The sequence below is a fragment of the Homo sapiens genome, chromosome 2 (assembly GCF_000001405.40).
Source record: "Homo sapiens chromosome 2, GRCh38.p14 Primary Assembly".
In the NCBI taxonomy this organism is placed as follows: domain Eukaryota; kingdom Metazoa; phylum Chordata; class Mammalia; order Primates; family Hominidae; genus Homo; species Homo sapiens.
In genome coordinates this window covers 98190422-98214492 of record NC_000002.12, presented here as the reverse complement: position 1 = coordinate 98214492, position 24071 = coordinate 98190422, and the positions used below count along the sequence as shown (strand labels likewise).

The 24071-nt window shown below is 39.2% G+C and overlaps 1 protein-coding gene and 1 pseudogene across 20 annotated transcripts in view, besides 2 other annotated features; both read right to left on the bottom strand.

Moving 5' to 3' along the window:
- The window catches only part of VWA3B (von Willebrand factor A domain containing 3B), a 243450-nt gene that overhangs the window by 116124 nt on the left and 103255 nt on the right, over positions 1–24071 (bottom strand). For all 20 annotated transcript variants that reach the window (XR_922885.4, NR_144296.2, XR_922884.2 and 17 more), the window contains 3 exons: positions 21457–21595; positions 20001–20132; positions 2465–2563 (listed from right to left, as the gene is read on the bottom strand). Coding sequence is in view for 15 of the 20 variants with exons in the window: in NM_144992.5 (NP_659429.4) it covers positions 2465–2563; positions 20001–20132; positions 21457–21595 (370 nt within the window). In the remaining 5 variants the exon portion in view is untranslated. The remainder of the gene's footprint in view (positions 1–2464; positions 2564–20000; positions 20133–21456; positions 21596–24071) is intronic.
- Positions 6595–8363, bottom strand: ATP5F1BP1 (ATP synthase F1 subunit beta pseudogene 1; annotated as a pseudogene).
- Positions 20717–20914: a silencer, noted in NCBI's record as "fragment chr2:98810042-98810239 (GRCh37/hg19 assembly coordinates)". NCBI's record gives its function as "represses an EF-1alpha promoter that drives an FKBP-Casp9 reporter gene in an ReSE screen in K562 erythroleukemia cells {active_cell/tissue: K562}" and the evidence as "EXISTENCE:reporter gene assay evidence [ECO:0000049][PMID:32094911]".
- Positions 21758–22313: an enhancer, noted in NCBI's record as "NANOG hESC enhancer chr2:98808643-98809198 (GRCh37/hg19 assembly coordinates)". NCBI's record gives its function as "activates a minimal SCP1, AML or CMV promoter by ChIP-STARR-seq in primed H9 embryonic stem cells {active_cell/tissue: H9 hESC(primed)}" and the evidence as "EXISTENCE:reporter gene assay evidence [ECO:0000049][PMID:30033119]".

The window sequence follows — 24071 nt, the reverse complement described above, 5'->3', positions numbered from 1 at the left end:
AGAGGGAGAATTTTCTCTACCTATGCTTTTCTACGAAGGTAGAAAAGAATGCATTAGAACACATTACTATTCAAAATTTAAACAAAAATAGCTTTAAGGTACAAGTTTTATTAAATTCATATAACAGAATGTGATGCAGTCATTGAGAAGGATGCTCCTGAAGAATTTTTGATGACTTGGAACAATGCATGTGATATGTTAGATGGGAAAAAAACCCACAAAATTCAATTATGAGTGATTCAAATTTTTTCCTCTTTTTTTTGTTTTTTTTGTGTTTTGCTTTTTTTTTTGTTTTTTTCTTAGAGACAGGGACTCGCTCTGTTGCCCAGGCTGGAGTGCAGTAGCACGATCATAGCTCACTGCATCCTTGAACTCCTGGTTTCAAATGATCCCCCTACTTCAGCCTTCTGAGTAGCTAGGACTACAGGTGCACACCACCACACTGAGCTAATTTTAAAGTTTTTTGTAGAGACAGGGTCTCAATATGTTGTCCAGGCTGGTCTTGAACTCCTGGGCTCAAGCAATCCTCCTGCCTCAGCCTACCAAAGTGTTGAGATTACAGGAGTGGGCCTCCCCACCCAACCACATTTTCTCCTTTTTAATGCTTATCTGTGTTTTCCAAGTTGTCCATAGTGTAAACAATTTTAAAAATCAGTAAGAGTATATTAAAAAGAAAAATACACCTTGACTTGCCTAGATGTCTCTCAAGTCGGAATCTTCAGCCCACACTGTCCCCTAACTCCAGCTCCATATTTCTAGGGACTTCTAGACACCCATGCACTCCCTAGAGGTTCGCAAACACAGCTTCCTCCACCAGCCACCCCCAAGCCTACTTGCCTCTTCTTGAAATCTGCATTTCAATCCGTTAATATCAAAATCATTGTAAACCAGGAATCAGTCATCCTGACTCCTTTCTGCCTTGCTCCTACCTTCTCCTCACCTCTCACTCACTGTTTCCAAACTGGCCATGAGGTCCTGTTGATGCTGCTTCCTGCGGCTCACGTCTGGAGGCAGTCCCCTCCTCCCATTCCTGCTGCTCCCACCCAAGGCTAGGTCCTTCCCAGCTTTCATCAAGGACCCAGCAGCAGGCCATGGCAGCGCCAGCCTTTCCTTGGCACAACTGAGGCATGTTTCTGAGATGCAGATGGGTAGGGTGGGCGGCTCCTCCGAGAGTTCCTCTCTGTGGTGACACCACCCTTCTAATATGGCATTCGAGGACTTCCACAGTCTTCCTCAACCCAACGTTTTTCACCTCCACCCTGATCTTCTTCCGTTGCCCCTGTCCTCAGCTTTTTTCTCTGAGCCCCCCACATATTTCCACACCTCTGTGTCCCTTCTGCCCAGGACATCAACAGTGTCTTCTGTTCCAAAAATTCCTTCTTGTCTTTCCAGACACAGCTCAAATGTCCCCGCCTCGCTGGAACCTGCCCTGACCTTCCCTCCATCTGTACAGCAAAATCCATCACTCTGTGCCCCTAGACATAGCACAGGCAACCCTGTTCCCGTGTTGTATTAAACTGTATACATCTAGCACATTCCCCAAAGCACAAACTTCCCAAAGGCAGGGATGAGCTGTTACTCATCTTTATAGCCTCAGACCCTGGCACCACACATGGAACAGAAGAGAGACACGATGAACTGCTTCCAAAGAGAAAACACAGTAAGTTGATAGGAAAAAAAATTTTAAATAAATTTTCACTTTACACACTCCCGTTCTGTCATAAATCTAAAGCTGCAGTAAAATCCAGATGCTTACTCTCTTTAAGCCCTGAACTTTTTGCCACAGGATATTTTAGAATATTTGCCTAGCAGTCTGCATATGCAAACCATCTCACAAGGAAGGACGCGAGTTGACACTAATTCACTTTAGCTGTTAATTTACATTACGCTGGCCTGAAAATCCTTCTATTTATTTAATGCCTGGAGTACTCCTCTTTCATTCACAAAGCTCAAAAGAAGATGAACAGACTCCTCTACAGCTTTTCAAATATTTTCCAGTCGGGCTAAACAAAACAAAGGACATTTCGCTAGAAAGGCATGTTTTTGTTTAAATGAGTACTAAGCCTTAGAGGTAAAGCCAAGGACATTATGCAGTGACATGTTAGATTCAGAGTCTCTAGAGGAAAAAAAATCAAAAAGAATCTCCTCACTTTTCATTTGTAATAAAATGCAAACCAGTCTTCAGTGGACAGCAGACGTCTCCTTTTGTGGGGCTGGTCTCCAGGCTAGGGGTGTGTGTCACACTCACCAGGCAACATTCACTGTCTCATAAATTCTCCTCAGAGTTTCCAGAGACAAAAGAATCTTTCAGTGTATTTTCTCACCTCAGATCTGAGTCCCTAAGCCAAGGAAGTATATGTCCACAGATTTTTGGTGGCAGCTGAAAAGGTCCCCCAGACCCATTTCCAGCATTTGCTTTCAGAGCATCAGTGAGGCCCTCTTTGTTCCCAGCTCTGGTAAGTACCTGATCAGGTCTCCCATCGGTCAGAAGGTAGATTGCCTGTGTTTCTTTATCAGCAAAAGCAGTTTTCAGGGCACTCAGGGTGTTTGTGGAGCTTCCAATCTACGGAAAAAAGAGACACCAAGGACACACTTGAATCCCAAAAAAGAATTCACAAACAAGTATTTATTTTCTGCTTCCAAAAAAGAAGAAAAAGTACCTATGAGATGAAAGATAAATAATTACATTGAGATAATAGTTTAACCCCAGTGATTCCAAGAAACATATCGCAGGGTATGCCTAAAAGTCTCTTTCCGGGCAGTCCAAGGACTGCTAGAAGTCAGGACTGTGGATTTCCTGTCTTGACAGAGCTCTTAATGCAATTTTATTTTTTTGTGTTTCTACATGAGATGCTAACTCAGTTACTGCTCACTCGTCTGTCAACAGAGCTTAAACATGCAGCCTAAATACACTGTGGCATCATAATGGTTTCAAACCAGGATTTATTCATGATACCCAATATTTGGTAAACGTGAGTGTGGTATCCTTAGCAATCTAACAATGTACATGTGGGCATATCTAACATTACCTGACAAGTTCTGTTTTTAGCAATCTCTCAAATCGTAGTAAACACTTAGAAAATCTCTTGAATACTTCATCAATATAGAAAGGAATGGATTTTTAGATACATATTAATTTATGGAATGTACTCTCCTTAATATGCAAAAATGATCCTTACCAAGGGACCATCAGTAGAGATACAGGACTTTGAACTGTCCAAAAGCCTCCTTCAACATCCCCCTCATCTCAGTTCCGTTGTATCACTCCAGCTTCAGTTGTAAGCAAGAAAACCAACTGTGGTTGATTCAAACAGGAAGGAATTTATGATAAAGGACATTGGGATGGCTCACAGCATCACCAATGGACAGGATAACCTGGGTTGGGACCTCTCATCAGGAACGAGACCCCCAATCCTGCTGCAGGGCTGCCTGGTGGGGGCCCCGCTGCAGTTCCACTGCAGAGCGCTGGATGCTGTGGCTTTCCTCGCTGGCACTGGGAGTATTGACAAGAGATGGACCAGAGCTCACTGCCACTGCCACCCCAGGAGCTGCATCGGTGTGCATCTGCCACTACTGCCAAGTTTGTCTCTGCTGGACCTGCCATCTGGAGTCACAATCTCTCAAGTCAAAGCCTAGGAGGTTATTCTGACTGACGGTGCCTGGGTCACATTACCCACACCCTAGCTAAAGCGAGGCCAGACCCTTCAACTTCCACAGGTGAACAGACTCTGCCCCCATCCCAAGAATCAGGATAAGAAGGGAGCAGAGACTGACAGCCTAAGGAATGACAAAGATCCAGAACACATCCAGCCCCCACCCCACCCAAGGCATCTCAGGCCTCACCATATACCATGGGCACTCTCCCATTAAGACTTTCTCAGACTCAGCCATGATGGGGAACCCCATGACCTGACCCATCCAGCTGCTCTCACCTAAGGCTCCTTCATCAGCTTTACTCCCTTTCATTTCAATAGATACTTAGTAAGCACATAAGTACCACGTGCCAGACATTTTGATAGATCTGAGACATAACCTACAAAACCAGACAAAATTCTGTGCCTTGAAGGGGGTTCATAGGATGGTGTTGGATGCCTAGAATATGACGACCTAACACTGTGCCAAAAGCTGTAAAAGTTCATGCCCAGCGTAGGATGCATCTTACTCTAGCTGAGTGAGTTGCTAAATACATCTTCTAGGGGAGACAGCAGGGAAGACTCTTAAAGGATGAGTAGGATAGGCAGGAAACCACAGAAGGATGCTGCACGCTCCAGACTCCTTTCTTGTTCAGGATTCAGCAAGTAATTCCATAACTGTAAAGCCCATAGGAGGAGAGGGGCCAGGAAAACGATGGGAGTAATGTTAATCATAAAACAACAACTATTGAGTACTTACTAGGCTAAGGGCTTATATTTCCTGTATTTTTAATCTGTGGTCTGCTCCCCATCCCAGAAGGTCACCCAGCAACAGCAGGCAGCCCAGGGACATGCCTTCCACCCCTGCAGACAGCACCAAACAGGAATTGAGGGGCCCCAGCAGCACAAGATGGCTCAGGGAACGAGACTGCCACTGGAACGAAAGCCCACAGAAGTAAGCCAGAGCAAACATGCTACACCCAAACACAGCGACTGCGCCGAATAAACAGACATAAGTGGAAATAAAGTCTTCTAACATGATAACCGAATGGTCTAAGATATAATTTAAAAATCACTCATTATACCAAGAACCAGAAATATCACATTCGAATGAGAAAAGCAACCCACTGATGCCAATACCAACAGAGCCTCAGAAATCTCTGGAACAATGAGGAAGAGCTAATACTATTCATACCACTAGAGTTTCAGAAAAAAGAGGGGAAAGAGTATGGGGCTTAAAAAGCATTTAAAAAGTAATGACTGAAAAAAACCCCAAATTTTGCCTGGGCGCGGTGGCTCACGCCTGTAATCCCAGCACTTTGGGAGGCTGAGGCGAGCAGATCATGAGGTCAGGAGATCGAGAGCATCCTGGCTAACATGGTGAAACACTGTCTCTACTAAAAATACAAAAAATTAGCCTGGCGTGGTGGTGGGTGCCTGTAGTCCCAGCTACTCAGGAGGCTGAGGCAGGAGAATGGCATGAACCTGGGAGGTGGAGCTTGCAGTGAGCCGAGATCGCGCCACCACACTCTAGCCTGGGCGACAGTACAAGACTCCATCTCAAAAACAAACAAACAAACAAACAAAAAAACAAATTTGGTTAAAGATACAGAAACTACAATTCAAGAAGCTAAGCAAATCCCAAACAGGATAAAACCAAAGAAAGCCACACCAAGACACATTGTATTTAAATTTCTGAAACTAAAAACAAAGAAAAATCCTAAAAAAGCTGAAGAGAAATAACACGTTACCTATAAAAGAGCACCAATTCAAATGACAGCAGTTTCTCATCTGAAACTATAGAGACCAGAGGAAGAGGCGCCACATTTTCAAGTGCTGAGAGAAAATAACTGCCAGCCATGAATCATCTATCTGGGGAAAATATCCTCCAGGGTTGAAGGAGAAGGAAAACTATGTGAATTTATTACAGGGAGACCTACCCTTAAAGAAGCATTCATGAAAGCTTTCCATATAGAAAGAGAACGAGAAAAGAAAAAAGCCTGGACTTTCAGAAAAAAGAACAATGGAATGAGTAAATATAAAAGTAAGCATAATAGATAATCCTTAACACCATGGATTTCTTTAGTTACATTTTATGATTGAAGCAAAAGTTTAGCACCATCTAAGATGGCATATAATGCATGCAAAGGAAATACTTCAGACAATTATATATTTTAAATGGTGAGTGTAAAGGGACCTAAATAGAAGTAAGGTTGCTACACTTAACTTGAAGTAGCAAACCACCAATAGGCTGTGATAAGTTACATCACAATAGGCTGTGATAAGTTACATATATGTATAAGGAAATACATAGAACTATTAAGAAAAGTATACAAAGCAATACACTCAAAAACAGTGTAAATAAATCAAAATGAAACACCAAAATATGCTCAAATAACCCATAGGAAGGCAAGACAAAAGAGAAAAATGAGAAACAGAGGAGACACACAAAAATAATAAATAAATAAAATGAGACACTTAATCCTTAAATATGAATAATTACTTTACATATAAATCACCTACATATACCAATTACATGACAGAGATTGAAGAGTGAACAAAAACATGACCCGATTTATGCTGTCTACAGGAAACTCACTTCAGGCATAACAACGTAGATAGGTTAAAGGTAAAAGGATGGAAAAAACGTATTACGCAAATATTTAATTTTAAAAAGCAAAAATAAGTATATTAATATTATATAAAGTAGACTTTAACACAAAGAAAATTTACTAAGGACAAAAAGGGACATTAGGATGATAAAATTCTCTATCCACCAAGAAGACAATGACCCTAAATGTGTATACATCAAACAACAGAGCTTCAAAACACATGAAGCAAAATTTGATGGAGATGAAAAGAAAAATAGATAAATCTATTTTTATCTACTTTATAATAGAGTTGTAATAGATAAAATAGGTAGAGTCTTATGGTTGGGGTCTTCAGTACACCATTCTTTTTTTTCTGAGGGGTGTACATTGTATTGGAAACCTTAAATACTCTTCAGATAGAACATGTTTTCAATCAAGGTTCTCATGTGGCTTACACCGAAACCTGAAGCTGTTTGGATTAGGGGAAGGAGAGGGACAGTACAGCAGATGAGTGCTTAGTTTGCCAAAAAGACCCCTCACAATAAGTGCTCTTCAGCCAGCGTATCAGCTTCTGCCAAACCTTCTTCAATGGGTTCCATCACTGAAGGCCCGTTCTGAGAGATGGTCATGTTCACCTATCAAAATCTGCTGAAATCCTTTAATGGTCTCCTTCAGGAGTACTGACTTCCCCATATGACCTGTGATGACCTCAGCAGCCTGGAATGGCTGAGACAAGAAACGTTGTATTATCCACATTCAAGACACAGTCAACTTGTCTTCCTCAGAAAGTTAATCCATACCCAATATGGATTATGACAATAACGTATGGAGGGATTTGTAGCCATGCAGAATCTTTTGCACCCCACGGGCAACATCATTATGCTCATTGCCAACAATGTTGGGATCCATGATGTGAGAGATGGAGTCCAGAGGATCCACATGTAGATAGATGCCCAGCTCAGTGACAGCATGGGGCAGCACAGTGGTGGCATCCAAATGAGCAAAGGAAGTAGCAGAGGCAGTCGAGTCATCAGCAGGTACATAGCCTGTACAGAGGTGATAGATCTCCTCTTGGTAGTGGCAATTCTTTCCCCACATCATACCCACCATGTCAGTGGCCAGGGTAGGCTGATAGCCCACAGCAGAAGGGATTCTGCCCAATAAGGCAGACACCCTTGAGCCAGCATGGGTGAAGTGAAAGATATTATCAATAAACAGGAGTACATCTTGAACTTCTTGGTCTCTGAAGTATTCAGCCACAGTCAGTCCAGTCAGAGCTACCTGGGCATGAGTAGCATGTGGTTCATTCATCTGACCTTACATCAGCATTACCTTGGAGGTAACATTTTTTAAGTTGACAACACCAGACTCAGTCATTTCATAATATAAGTCATTGCCCTTACAGGTCCTCTCAAAAACACCAGCAAACCCAGATTAAGCACCATGGGCTTTGGCAACATTATTGATTAACTCCATGATGGGTACAATCTTGTCAACTCCAACACCACTAAAAAGCCCAATTTTGCCACTCTTGGCTAGGGAGTGAGGAAATCCACAACTTTGATACTAGCCACCAGAATTTCTTGCTCAACGCTAATTTCCATGAACTCAGGAGCCTCAACATAAATGGGAGCAAACTGTTTCATTTTGATGGGACCGCTTTCATCAATAGGCTCTCCAATGATGTTCATGATTCTGCTCAAAGTCTCAGGACCAACAGGACTTTCGATTGGTGCACCAGAATCCAGGACTTTCTGGCCTCTAAACAAGCCTTCTGTACCATTCATAGCATAATCCTTACTGTGCTCTCACCCAAATGCTGGGTCACCACAAAAACCAGCCTGGTCTCCCTGCCTTGTACTTGCTGGGCATTTAAAATAGATGGTAGTCCCTCATCAAACTGGATATCCACTACTGCATCAATGACCACCACAATACACCCAGTGGTGGTGCCTGTCTTCAGCAAAGGTGATGTTTGTGCCCATATTTCCTGGTAGATTGGATTGCTGCCAGAGTGGCCCATGGCAAGACCTGAGCTTGGAGTAGCAACACTGACGGGCTGAGTTCCTGCAAGGCCCTGGAGGCTGAGGCAGCAGACATGACCCACAGAACTCAACATGGTAGAGTTTGGGTGGAGACTGAGTGTTGCCCAATATCCCGCTCTTAATGATTGACAGAACAACTAACCAATCAGCAAGGACGGAGAGGAATTGAACAATACCATCAACTAACCAGATCTAATTGAGATTTATAGAATACTCCACCCAACAAAAGACTGCATATGCTTTTCAAACAAACATTGAAAATGTGCATAAATAGACCATATCTTGAGTCACAGAACAACATTTAACAAATTTAAAAGATTTGAAATCATACAGAGTATGCCCTCTGACTATAGTGGAATCAAAATAGAAATTAATAACAGAAAGACAACATGAAAATTTCCACAAACACTTGGAAATTTTAAAACATGCTTTGAATAATTCATGGCCCAAAAGTTAAATCACAAAGAAAATTAAAAATTAAATAGTACTGAATGAAAATTAAGCTGTTTTGTTTAAAATTTGTGGGATGTACCAACATAATTCTGGCAGGAAAATTTATGGTACTAAAAGCTTACTTACAATAAAATAAAAATATGCCAAAACTATAATTTATGTTCCTACCTCAAGAACCTAGAAAAATAAACTCAAGAGCAAAATAAACTCAAAGCAGGCAGAAAGAAGTAAATAATAAAGAACAGAAATTAATAAAATTCAAATAGTAAAACAATAGAGAAAATTGATAAAACAAAAGGCTGGTTGTTAAAAAGAATCAATAAAATTGACAAACTTCTAGCAAGATTTGCAAGGTAAAAAGACACATATTACCAACATCAAGTACAAAACAGGGCCTATTACAACATCTCTTGCAGTCACTGACAGGACAATAAGAGAATATTATGAAAAACTTTATGCTCATAAATTCTACAGTTTAGAAAAAAATGAACACTTTTTCAAAAACCACAAACTACCAAAACTCTACCAAGATGAAACTGACAACCTGAATAGTTCTATGGTTATTAAAGAAATTGAATTTGTAATTAAAAAGCCCCTGAAAAGAAGTATCTGTGTCCATATGGTTGCACTAGAGAATTAATTCATTAATTTATTTATTTATTGAGGCAGAGTCTCTCTCTGTCACCCAGGCTGGAGTGCAGTGACGCCATCTCAGCTCACTGCAGCCTCTGCTTCTGGGTTCAAGTGATTCTCCTGCCCCAGCCTCCCAAGTAGCTGGGATTACAGGCATCTGTCACCATGCCCGGCTAGTTTTTGTATGTTAAGTAGAGACGGGGTTTTCCCATGTTGGCCTGGCTGGTCTTGAACTCCTGACTTCAGGTGATCCTGCCTGCCTTGGCCTCCCAAAGTGCTGGGATTACAGATGTGACCTACCGTGCCTGGCCGCACTAGAGAATTTTATCAAACATTCAAAGGAGAATTAACACAAGTTTTACACAATCCACTCCAGAAGATAGAAGGGGAGGGAATACTTCCCAACTCACTCTATGAGGCCAGTATTACACTGATACGCAAAGCAGACAAAGACAGCACACACACAAAAAGCCTACAGACCAACATCTCTCATGAACCTGGACACAAAAGTTCTCAACAAATATTAGCAAATTTAATCCAACAAAGTATAAAATGAATAATACATCATGACCAAGTGGCATTCTATGTATTCAGAGTTGGTTCAAAATTTGGAAAAAAAATCATATGAGCATATCAATTTGCACAGAAAAGGATTTGGCAAATGCAACCTTCATTCAGTATAAAAATTCAGTACATTAGGAATAGAATGAAACTTTCTCAATCTCATAAAGAGCATGTACAAAAAGCTTGCAGCTAACATCATACTTAATGGGAGAAGACTGAATTCTTGCCCTTTATGATTGGGAAAAAGGCAAGTATGTCTGCTCTCAACATACCTATTCAATGTAGTACTGGAAGTTCTATCCGCTGCAATAAGGCAAAGGAATAAGTCATAGAGGTTGGAAAAAACAAACAAACAAATACTACTGTCTATTTGCAGACTACCCAATTATCTACATAGAAAATCCTGAGAACTACAGTTGTCCCTTAGTATCTGTGGGGGACTGGTTCCAGGATCCACTCCCAACCCCATGGACACCAAAATCTGAGGATGCTCAAGTATCGTATAAAATGGCATAGTATTTGCACATAACCTATACAATCCTCATGTATACTTTAAATAATCTCCAGATTACCTATGATATCTAACAAAATGTAAATTCTACATAAGTAGTTGTTATATCTTTTAAGTTTTGTATTATATTTTATTGTTGTATTGTTATGATTTTTACCATTTATTTTTCCCAAATATTTTCAATCCATAGTTGGTTGAATCCACAGACACAGAACTTGCAGATATGGAGGGCTTACCATACACAAAAAACAAAAAGCGAAATAGTACGTAAGCCTACTAAGGTCAAAAGATGCAAAGTCCACACATGAAAACCAACTGCGTTTCTACACACTGACAACAAATAGGTGAAAACCAAAATAAAAAGTGCAATACCACTTACAATTGCTCCAAAAAATTACAATACTTAGTATATACTTAAACAGGTACAAGAGCTGCATGCTGAAATTATAAAATTCTGATGAAATAAATCAAAGACCTAAATACTCAGAGAGACATACTGTATTCATGGAATAGATGAATTAACACAATAAAGATGCCAATTCTTCCTAATTAGATCTATAGGTTTAATGCAATTTCTATCCAAATGTCAGCAAGGTTTTCAATAGGCATAAAGAAGTTTGTTTTCAATTTTTGTATGGAAAATAAAGGCCCAAGAATAGCCAAAACAATTCAAAAAAAGAAATGTAAAGTAGGAGTAGCTGTTCTTGATCTTAAAGCTCACTATACAGCTATAGCTATCAAGAAAGTGTGGTCCTAATGGAGACATTAACACATATAACAATAGAACAGAACAGGGAACCCATACAAAGACCTGCAGACATATTCAACTGATTTTTGGCAAATGAGCAAAAACAATTCAATAGAGGAGGAATAGCCTTTTCAATAAATGGTGTCACAAGAATTGCACATTCATAGGCGAAAAATAAATAAACCGGCCGGGTGTGGTGGCTCACGCCTGTAATCCCAGCACTTTGGGAGGCCAAGGCGGGCAGATCACAAAGTCAGGAAATCGAGAACATCCTGGCCAACATGGAGAAACCCCGTCTCTACTAAAAACACAAAAATTAGCCAGGCATGGTGGTACATGCCTGTAGGCCTAGCTACTCTGGAGGCTGAGGCAGGAGAATCGCTTGAACCTGGGAGGTGGAGGTTGCAGTGAGCCGAGATCATGCCACTGCAGTCCAGCCTGGGCGACAAGAGCGAAACTCCATCTCAAAATAAATAAATAAATAAATAAATAAACCTCAACCTAGATCTCACACCTTATGCAAACGTTAATTCCAAACAGATCATAGACTTAAATGTCAAACAAAATTATAAAACTTCTAGAAAAAAGGACACGGGGAAAACATCTTCAGGATCTAAGATTAGGCCAAGTCTTTAGAAATGACATCTCGAACTGAACAAAAATAGTTATAAAACGTAATTTGTGGGAACAGCTAAAGCAGTAGCTGGGGGTGGCATTTATATCATTAAATTCTTAGATCTAAGAAATGGAGATTTAATTTAAAAAAACAAAGCAAGTAGGAGGAGAAAAATAATAAAGATAGCAGGAATCAACACAATTTAAAACATTTGTTAAAAATTAGAAAATCAAAGAAACAAAAAGTTGGTTTCTTGAAAAAATTAACAAAATTAAAAGAAAAATAAAAAAAGCTCTTCAAACTAACCAAGAAAAAAAGGCAGTAGACAAAAATTACCAATATCAAACATCACTACAGATCCCACAAACATTAAGGAAATGATAAGGGAATGCTGTGAGCAATTCTATGCTCATAAATTCAACCCTATGGAAGAAATGGGCTGCTTCCTTCTAAGAAACAAATGACCAAAACTAACTCACAGAGGTACAGATAATCTGAATAGTCCTAAATCTGTTAAAGAAATTGAATTCATAGTTTTAAAACTTCTAACAAAAAAAGAGGCCCAGATGGTTTCATTGGTAAATTCTACCAAACAGTTAAGGAAAAATCATATCAATTCTGTACAACCTTTTTTAGAAAAAAAGAATATGGAATATTTTCTAACCCATATTATGAGGTCAGCATTTCCTGATACCAAAATTAGACAACAATTTCTAAGAAAAGAATCTGCAAACCAATATTCCTCATGAATATAGACAAAAAAACCTCAACAAGATAGGTTAACAAATTTAATGCAGAATATATTCAATCTATAATACATCTTGAACAAGTGGAGATTATCCCAGAATGCAAAGCCAATTTAATATTCAAAAACAAATCAACGTAGTGCACCATATTAACAGACAACAGATCTGCCAAGTACAACTTGGCAACTTGGCTTCATCAAAATCAAAAGCTCAACAGATGCAGAAAACACATTTACAAAATCCAATATTTGTTTATGGTAACAATCCTCAAAAAACCAAGAATAGAAGGGAAATTGGTTAACAAGATAAAGCACATCTACAAAAAAAACAAAAAACCTCACAGCTAGCAAAGTATTTAATAGTGAAAGATTGAATGTTTCCCCTCTAATATCAGGACCAAGGCAAGTATGTTCTCTCTCACCACTCCTGTTAAACATCATACTGAAAGTCTTAGCCAGTGCATTAAGGCAAGAGAAAGAAATAAACACTATACGGGTTGGATAGGAAAAAATAAAATCATCTCTATTCATACATGACATCATTGGAAATCCCAAGTAATCTACAACAAAGTTCCTAGAGCAGGTAAGTAAGATTAGCAAGGTCAAAAGAAATAAGGTCAGTATACAAAAATCAATTGTAATAAAGAATTAAAATTTATAATTTAAAAAGTACTATTTACAATAGTAACAAAAAAGACCCAAATAAATTTAGAGGTACACAGTGTTAGACGTCAATTCTCTTGAATCTGATCTATAGACTTAAGGGAATCTTAATCAAAATCCTAGTGTACTGTTTTGTAGATTTCAACAACTGATTCTGAAATGTACAAGGCAGGTCAAAGGAACTATATAACAGCCAAAAAAATTTGGAAGGAAATACAAAGCTAGAGGATTCAGGTTGGCTGATTTCAAGACTCAGTGTAAAGTCACAATAATAAAGACAATGTGATGTTGGTGAAAGAACAGACACCTATTAATAGTTCAATGAAACAAAAATAGACCCACACGGATATAGTCAAATGATTTTTGACAAGAAGCAATAGTAATTCCACGGAGAGAGGAATAGTTACTTAGACAAACAGTGCTGGATCCTGCCTCACACCTTATACAAAAATGAACTCAAAATGAACCCTATTCTTAAACACAGAATGTAAAACCATTACATTTGAGGATGAAAACATGAGAAAACCTGCATGACTGCAATGTGTTTAGCTATGGGTCTAAAAGCACAATCCGTAAAGAAAACTTGGCAACTTCGACTTTATCAAAATTAAAAACTTATACACAGTGAAAAACCCTATTAAGGGAATGAAAAGCCATAGATTGGGAGAAAATACTTGCAAATTGTAAGTCTGATAAAGTTTATGTGCAGAATACATGAAGAAAGTCAGTCTTTTTTTTTTTTTTTTTTTGAGATGGAGTCTTGCTGTATCACCTAGGCTGGAGTGCAGTGGCGTCGTCTCAGCTCACTGCAATCTCCAGCCTCCTGGGTTCATGCCATTCTCTTGCCTCAGCCTCCTGAGTAGCTGGGACTATAGGCACCTGCCACCACGCCTGGCTTATTTTTTGTAGTTTTAGTAGAGACGGGGTTTCACCATGTTGGCCAGGCTGGTCTTGAACTCCTGACCTCATGATCTGCCTGCCTCGGCCTCACAAAGTGCTGGGATTACAGGCGTGAGCCACCGTGCCTGGCCTGACTCCAGCTATTATCCATATCCGCGCCCAGCCTGAAGAAACTCAATCTTAAGAAAACAAACAACTCAATTAAAAAATGGGCAAAATATCTGAACAGATATTTCACCAAAGAAGACATACATACAGATGCCTAATAAGCATGAAAAGACGAGTGTTAAGTAAATGCAATTAAAAGTACAATAGGATACTACGAGACATCTTTCAGCCATATTAGAATGTCTAAAATAAAACAACCTGACAACATCAAAAGCTGGAGAAGATGTAAAGTAATGGTAACTCTCATATATCACTGACGGGAATGCAAAACGGTACAGCCACATTGGGAAACAGTTTGGCAGTTTCTTATAAAGTTAAACATACACTTAGCATACTGGCCAGCAATCTCACTTCTAGATATTTATTTATATTCAAATGAAGTGAAAACTTATTGTTGGAAACCATTTCCCATGGGTCTCATGTATTTCTACATATCTTGCAACAGACGTGCTGTCTGCTCTGGTTTATCTTTTCAAGATGTATATATAGGGAACAGCCTTGGAAAACAGAAATACTGTCTGTCTTCAAAGCAAAGAGTAGGCATGCTTATTGTCCAATATAAAGATAATACCTAACTCTGGAGCGAAGGACCAGCATGCTCACAGTCCATTATAGAAGATTTGGTTTTCTTAAGTTCAGGGCCCCCTCCTTTAACACAACCTAATGCATGAGCAAGAGTCGCCTGGTCCTCATTGTTTCACCCTGCGGAAATTGGGGCTCAGGGAGCTAGTACAAGAAAATGCTGATGCTCTGGTTACTGCTTTTGCTGTGGGTAATAAAGTCATTTGTCTCTGACCCAAAAGCCTTGGTGTTCTGCCGGCATCCACATTAGTTTGCAAGAAAGGTAAAATCTCAGGCCCTTCACAGTTCTCAACACCTTTTCACACAAAAATCTGTAGGCAAATGTTTACTGCAGCTTTATGTATAAAACCCAAAACAGGAAATAACACAGATAGCCTTCAACAAGGAATGGGTAAACAGTTTTGCTTCCATACTCATCAATAAAGCACTACTCATTAATAAAAACACTACTTATCAATAAAAGGGAATAAACTCTTGATTCATGAAATAAGTTGGACGAACTTATAAGAACTGACAAAGTTCTTATATCCAGAAACTCAATTTTTTTTTTTTTTTGAGACGGAGTCTCGCGCTGTCGCCCAGGATGGAGTGCAGTGGCGCCATCTCGGCTCACTGGAAGCTCTGCCTCCTGGATTCACGCCATTCTCCTGCCTCAGCCTCCCGAGTAGCTGGTACTACAGGCGCACACCACCACACCTGGCTAATTTTTTTGTATTTTTAGTAGAGACGGGGTTTCACCATGTTAGCCAGGATGGTCTTGATCTCCTGACCTCATGATCCGCCTGCCTCGGCCTCCCAAAGTGCTGGGATTACAGGCAGGGGTCAAGTGTTATTTTGGTAAGTGAAAGAAGCTAGAACCCAAAAGTTCTATTGTATGATTTTGTTTATATGACATTCTGGAAAAGGAAAAGCTATAAGGACAGAGAAACAGAGCAGTGTTTACCAGGAGGGAGGGGGAGTTGGTGACAAAGGGGCATATGAGGACATTTTGGGAGTGATAGAATTGGTCCCTTTGGTACTGTGGTGGAGATACATGACTCTATGCATTTATCAAAATCCATGAACTATCACCAAAAAGAGTGTTTTTTTTTTTACTGCATGCAAATTAAAATAAGATTCAACTAGGATGTGGAGGAAACCAAGGTGAAATGCAGACTGTAACCAATGAGTCTAACTGTGTCACTAATGAATGACATAAGCACGCTAAAGAGATTGGGTAAGAAAGTTACCTGACTTCACAGCTTTGGAAGACAGTTTTTTGAATGGATACTGTAAAGTTAAAGCAGAAAAAAAAAGCTGTATACAAACACTATAGCTGATAAATTTGTTTCTTGTAGAGTATGAACTAGCAATATCGAAACTATATGTACAGTAGGGTTGAAAATATAAGTAAATATGTTATAGGTAATGAGAATCAGGTTTCTCCTTGTTGAAGAAGTTGCAAATAAGTTCATTACAAATGAACCCTGGGCTCTGTGTTGGAATTAGAGGTATCAGTATGAACGCATGATTTGTTTGCTTATTTAATATAAATACAGACTGATATACAGATAAATAAATATAGATGTTTATGGATACATGGAGTAGCTATAGAAATATACATTTAATAGATATTATCATATATATCAATATATAATATAGATATTTTCTATGTATATATATTTCTATCTCTGTCCACTGAGAGGGCGTAAAAGCAGTGATACAATCCGGTAGCAATAACCACAACCAGGTGTCCAGATCTTGGTTTCTAAATACCATTCTGTAACAAAAGAAACCAAGGTTCCTTGGAGTAGTGGTGGATTTCAGGGCTGAGGCTGGGAAAATATAAGATGATCATAGAACATCTTATAGTGACAGAAAATCAAGAAATGCTAAAGGGGGAAAAAAAGGTGGATGCATATTTAAATATTTAGAGGCAGCATAAAAGAATTCCCAATGGCCAAAGTAACAAAATAAATAATGATAGTATTAGATTATAACTCCAAGAATAAAATAAATTTCCATGAGTCCACATTGAAATAAATATATAAATGAATAAGTAAAAGGGGGAAAGGGAAATCTTTTCCTTATAGAATAATTCCAATATAGAAATGTAAAAGGAATAGAGGAAATATAAAATCACCTCAGCTCAGTAATAATTGTTGTAAGGATGATCCACATTGAGGGCTAAAATTGTGGGCAAAAGCTTAAGGAACAAATGATATTTGCATAGCTTCAGAGCACCTCCTCCAAAACTTTTATTATTTACAAAGGGAAAAAAATGGTAACTTTTGGAGGAGAAACCTGGCAGATGTCACCTTAACCAAATGATCAAAGTAAACACTGCTGGTCATAGAGCATATCAGCATCATGTGTGCCTTCAGGTGATCCACTGGGAAGAGTATTCCCTCCCCCAAATCCATAACCCAATCTAATAATGAGAAAACATTAGACAAAATCAAACTTAAGGACATTCTACAGAAGATCTGAATAGTACTCTTCAAAAGTGTCAAGGTCACAAAAGACAAGGCGAGATTGAAGAACTGTCACAGATTGGAAGAGACTAAGGAGGCATTGCAACTAAATGTCATGTGAGATCCTTGGCTGGATCTTGGAACATAAAAGGAACATTAGTGGAAAACTGATGAAGGCTGAATAAAGTCTGCAATTTAGCTCATAGTAGCCATGTGAATGTCTTAGTTTTATAATTATACCATGGCTATGTTAGAGGTGAACATTGGAGAAAGCTAGGTGAAGGGTAAATGTGAACGCTCCGTACTACTTTTGCAACTTTTTTGTAAGTCTAAAATTATTGCAAATTTAAAAGTTAAAAGCAAAACAAAACCCTCTTGCAGGATTTGGGCAGCAGAAATGTGTATTCCAGATGGTAAACAGAACAACTCTTCCCTCTGAGCCCATTCTCAATAGTCTTTTGTTGAAAAGCCTACTGCTGAAAAGATGGTGGCAAAGCTGGGGAAGAGGCAGACAGAGAGAGCCCGGGGAAACATGGTCTGGGGGTGGCACCTGTTTTGCACCTGCTCCCTCCATCTCCCCCGCTCAACTACTGGGCAGGCGCGGCCACAGCTTGTGCTCCCTGGCCTTAGGAACGCCTATGCTTGTTTGGGGACCTACTGCTGCATGACAACAGCACAAAGCAGGCTCAGACCACCCTGAGTGCTACCGGGTTGACTACTGGACCAAATCAGCCGAAAGAATAATAGAATTTGGCTTTCTTTATTATCTTTTTAAAATTAATTTACTTTTAATTGACAAATAAAATTGTATATATGGTATACAATGTAATGTTTTGATATATGTATATGTTGTGGAATGAGTAAACCAAGCTAATTAACAAATCTGTCACCTGACATATTTTTGAGTGGTGAGAACACTTAAAATTTACTCTCTTGACAATTTTCAAGTATACAATACATTGTTATTAACTATAGTTACCATGTTGTACAATAGAGCTCCAGAACTTATTCCTCCTGTCTAACTGAAACTACGTACCCTTTGACCAACATCTCCCCATCCCCACCCAGCACCCTGCTCCTAGTCTCTGGTAACCACCATTCTACTCTCTGCTTCTGTGAGTTCAACATTTTTAGATTCTACATATAAGTGAGATCATGTGGTGTTTTTTCTTTCTCTGCCTGGTTTATTTTACTTAATATAATGTCCTCCAGGTTCATTTATTTGGTTGCAAATGACAGGATTTCCTTCTTTTCTAAGCTGTGTAGTATTCCATTGTGTATATATGCCACATTTTCTTTATCCTTGGTCCTTTTGAAAATGAATTTTGGACATTCAACAAGCCAGCAAGGGAGCATCAGTGAAAATTTGTAAAGAGAACAGAATTATGCTTTATAGGAATATGTGTTTTTAGCCAAATGGCTAAAATCTGAATAGATGGCTGACTCTATTCATTAGTGATTTTTATATAAAGCAGAACCCAATGATGTTTTTATGCAATGAGATTATATATATAATATCTTGTTATCATAAACCCTAAATTAGTAGGCTCTGAGTTAACAAGGTATTTCCTATTATTGTGTCATAAAAGGACAGAAAAAAAAAAGGACAGAACGTATGTCACAAGTAACTTCATTGGTTAATCCTGGAAATTTAACAAGTTGGGTATGAATTCAACACTATTTCCCAGGATAAGGTGCCCAGTTAAATTAAAATCTTACAGGCATTATTATTTCTTATAGAACAGATTTTCGCCTCCCAGTTTTAAAAACAAGTCACAAGGGAGCCCTGGTGCATCTCAATGATCTGCTAATGTCTATTTGTGACTTTCTGTCAAATCTAAGACTCTAAACTAGACACTAAACTACTTTAAAGATGTTTCTGATACATATTTGCCTTTTTAAGAAAAGATACGGAGACTTGCTCTGTTGCCCAGGCTGGTCTCAAGTTGCTGGGCTCAAACGATCCTCCTACCTCAGCCTCCCAAGGAGCTGGGACTACAGGTGTGCACCACGATGTCCAGCTCCTATATTTGACTTTTTAAGAACAACTCTTGGTCTCAATTGTAGTATATCTCAAATATTTGGAAGTTCGCAATGCTATATGCTATAAAAAATTAAGATAAGCTCAAGATAAGAAAATTTAGGGCAAGGAAAATCCTTCCCAGGAGTCTGTGTAAATGCCAAGGGCAGTCACTTCTGAGGAAATGATTTCACCTTCTTACTACATTCTCCTGCCCTAGCTCTCTTCTTGCATTCAGTCCTAAACACTCAGATTGTACTGTGTATTTCCACATGCTCCTTACTTTTGAACAAAGCCCATTGATAAGAATGGCTGCAATATACCGTTTGCAACAATAATGAAATTTCAGAAGAAAAAAATCTGAATGTCTGAGTACAAAAAAAAAACTCTGTTTTGAAATGTGTTTTCATAAGGGGGCTTCAACCTGAGCCAAGGGCAGAGCTGGAAATAGAGAACTGTGAGTAGATAAGAATAAGAGGCTCATCTAAACCTTATGATATTGACAAAATGAGATTGGATTAACGTGACCACTGCAAGCAAAACAAAAGTCTACATGTTAAGCCACTTCCATCCTGAGAGTGCAAAACACCTCTCAGGAATGTCTGTCCTGTGAATGAACTCAGTACACAGGTGAGAGACTCCTAGGATGCTTCTCCCAGCTTAGTCTCCAACTTACCTTTATGTCTCTAATCCAGGACTGAGCCTGTTCCAAATTATCTTCATTGACTTCAGCAAGTTGTTCCCGCCAAGCAACTGCTTGACCATCAAACTTCACAAAGTTAAACTTACTTTTATATTTCAGCTGTTCCTAAAAGAGACAATGATTATTTAACCATAAAACCACTCAGATGTTAGAAAGGGTTTGGGTAGGCCACAGTTTGATATATTTTAATCATGATGGTCTCTATTTTCAGTTCAAGAAGCAAAAAATTATATTCAATAGAGAATATCCTATCTAGTATAAAGGATATTTAAATAAAATTTATCCAGTTTGTGTGTTAAGACCTTTACAAATGTATATATGATTATATGAATATACATTATATATGTCACGTATATGTAAAAGTTTATATATATAATGTGACATTAAATATTGATTTTAATACTAACATTAAGGATATACCAAATAAGCACACCAAATACAATATGCTGGAAGAAAAGAAATCTAAAACAACATCATTTCAGTCATTCTCTTTTAGGTAAAGCCATTATTCAGTTACAACTTTATACACTTGTTCATATTTCTCCAGTAGAGCTTTGTTAAATTAAAAAGTGCATTTTGGCTGGGCACGGTGGCTCACGCCTGTAGTCCCAGCACTTTGGGAGGCCGAGGCGGGCGGATCACGAGGTCAGGAGATCGAGACCATCTTGGCTAACACGGTGAAACCCCGTCTCTACTAAAAATACAAAAATTAGCCGGGCGTGGTGGCAGGCGCCTGTAGTCCCAGCTACTTGGGAGACAGGAGAATGGCGTGAACCCGGGAGGCGGAGCTTGCAGTGAGCCGGGTTGGCACCACTGCACTCCAGACTGGACGACACAGTGAGACTCCATCTCAAAAAAAAAAAAAAAGTGCATTTTGTATTTCTCAAACACTCCCCGCTATTATTTCTATGGTTAATAATACATCAATACTACAAACTCACATTACTGTGATGTCATTTGACAGGTGTGGACACTAGGATTTAGGGCACTTGGGCAACCTGCTTCAGTTCACACAGCTCAGAGGCAGCACAGGCAGAATAAGAACTGGGAGCTTCTAAACACCAGCCTGCACGCCTCCCATGCACCAGGGTACACAGCATCCCCAATAAACATTTGAAATTAAAAATGCTAAGATGAGGAGTTTCTGGAAGACAATGGAAGTGTGTGTATACCAAAGATTTCAGGACAGAGAAAATCTGAAACAATGAACATAGCAACTCCCTTAAGCAACTCATGTGTGACAGAAAGAATCCACCAGAGAAAGGGTCTATTTGCAAAAGAGAACTGATGATTCTTTAACTAACAAAAGGGAGTACTTCTCTGAATTTGGCTTTCTTAGGAATTTTTTAGAGCAACAAGCCCCTATCCACTGCTCATAACCATCTGATACACAAAGCCCCAAATGCATGAACCGACAGTTCCATCTAACCTGTATGAACTGAATGATCTTGTCCTTCACCAAGTCCAGTTTGCTCTTCATTGAGTGAGACGTGTCAATGAGAATGTAGATGCAATCATTATGCAATCTTCCAAAGAGGCTTTGACTCCCATCCTGTAGCCATTTAATCCTAGGCAGGAAGTAGGTTGAAAGTGAATGGTGAGAGCCTGCAGGCAACAAGAGCATCTTCCCAAGAACTTAACGATGCATCTGCAGAGGACAGAGCTGCGCTATGTTGTTTATACCCAATCTTCTGTGAGTAGATCATTCGCTTTGAGGTTTTTCTGTAGAAAATCCTACATTTGGGCTGTAGGATGCACTACCCACCATCAAGCCAAGTAAAACAAAACTAAGAAAATCAGTATGACAGAAAAATAAATCCATTGTGGGTGCTGTCAGGCCTCTGGGCCCAAGCTAAGCCATCATATCCCCTGTGACCTACACATACACATCCAGATGGCTGGTTCCTGCCTTAACTGATGACATTCCACCACAAAAGAAGTGAAAATGGCCTGTTCCTGCCTTAACTGATGACGTTGTCTTGTGAAATTTCTTCTCCTGGCTCATCCTGGCTCAAAAGCTCCCCTACTGAGCACCTTGTGACCCCCACTCTGCCCGCCAGAGAACAACCCCCTTTGACTGTAATTTTCCTTTATCTACCCAAATCCTATAAAACGCCCCCAACCTTATCTCCCTTTGCTGACTCTCTTTTCAGACTCAGCCCGCCTGCACCCAGGTGATTAAAAGCTTTATTGCTCACACAAAGCCTGTTTGGTGGTCTCTTCACACGGACGCACATGAAAGGTGCCAAAGTCAAAAATAAATTACTTCTAGTCATCTGATATTTTGAGGACCTCAGCTATGATTTCAGACTATTTGTTCTTCTAATCTGGCTGACTGCCGTCAAGCTAGTGAAGCCAGCACATTCCTGAAGCTTCAATGAAACTTATGGACAGCATCAAGCAGCCCCAGAGCTCTGTAATAACCAAGGCCCTGGTGGCTGTGTGAGAAGGACTGCGTCTGTGGTCCATGATCAGGTTCCCATCACAGGATATAAATAAATGAAATTCGTAGCTGCAAGCAAAGCCTGGGGGGTGGAGGTAAGGAAAGAGTATGGAAAAAATATTTGAATTGAGCTCAGAGTTCAGCAAAGCCTAAGAAACTAAAATTTGAATGGCAAAATATTGAAAGGACACTACTGCACAGGAGAAAGGGAGAGAGAGCATGCTCCAGAGATCTGCAGAAGGGTGTCCTCGAAATTTTGGCTAAATAATGATCAAGGCATGCATGTGAAGAAACTACTGAAGCCAAGGAAGAAATCACCAAAGGAGTAGGCTGATCAACCCCTCAGGGCTCACACATGGCTAGGAGTAGTTCATCTACCAGCCAGAGTAGGAAAATCTCCTTAATATATGGGGCAACAAGTAGCGTTCTTGAAAGAGTATTGCCTCGGTAGCAGGACCAAATTAGCCCTGGGCTAAAGGCGACCCTAGATCTATTCTAACATAACTGAAAAGCAATTCCTAGAGAGATCAAACTGGTTTCAAGTAACTTGACTGTATCAAGAACATATATAAAAATACAATGAAATCTAGTACCTGATAATGTAAAGTTAAAATGCCTGGCATCCAGTAAAAAATTACCAGGCATACAAAGAAGCAGGAAAATACGATCCAAACCAGAAGAAAAACTGATCAACAGAAACAGATCCCAAAATGACACAGATGATAGAATTAGTGGAAAAGGATGTTACACAGCTATTGCAAATATAACCCATATGGTCAAAAAGGTAAAGTATAAACAGAATGAGGAGAGAAATGGAAGATATTTAAATAGACCCAAATAAAACTTGTAGAGAGATACAATATCTGAAATTTAAAATACACTGCATGGTATTAATAGTACATTAGACATTAGGAGAAGAAAAGATTAGGGAACAAAAGACAAAGCAAAGGAAACAATTTAAAGTTAACTCAGAGAGAAAAAAGACAAAAGCATTTTCATCAGAGATAATTAGTGGCCCATGGAACAATATCAAGGAGTCTAACATATGTGTAATCAAAGTAGAAGAAGGAGAAGAGAGGGGGAGGCAGAAAAAATATTTGAGAAAATATGACCACAATGTTTTAATTTTGATTGAAACAGTGCACCTACAGATCCAAGAAGCTCAAAGAACCCAAGAAGAAGAAAAATAAAGAAAACTACACCCAGGTATATCACAATAAAATTGATAAAATCTAGAAACAGAGAAATTTTAAAAAGCATCAAAGTCATTATGTGTAGAGGAGCAAACAAAAATATGACAGGAGACTTCTTATCATAAATCATGCAAACCAGGAGACAATGGAGAAGGATTTTCAAAGTACTGAAAGACAGAACTGTAAAACCAGAATTCTATGCTTAGCCAACACATCATTCGAAAATAAAGGTAAATTAAAGAGTTTTTCAGACTGAAACAGCTCATTCATCACCAATAGACCTGCACTACCAGAAATATGAATGAAACTTCTTCAGGTGGAAAAAAAATGATACCAAATGGAAATGTGGATGCATACAAAGGAATAAAAAGCAACAGAGATATCAAGTATGTGGTTAAATATAAAATA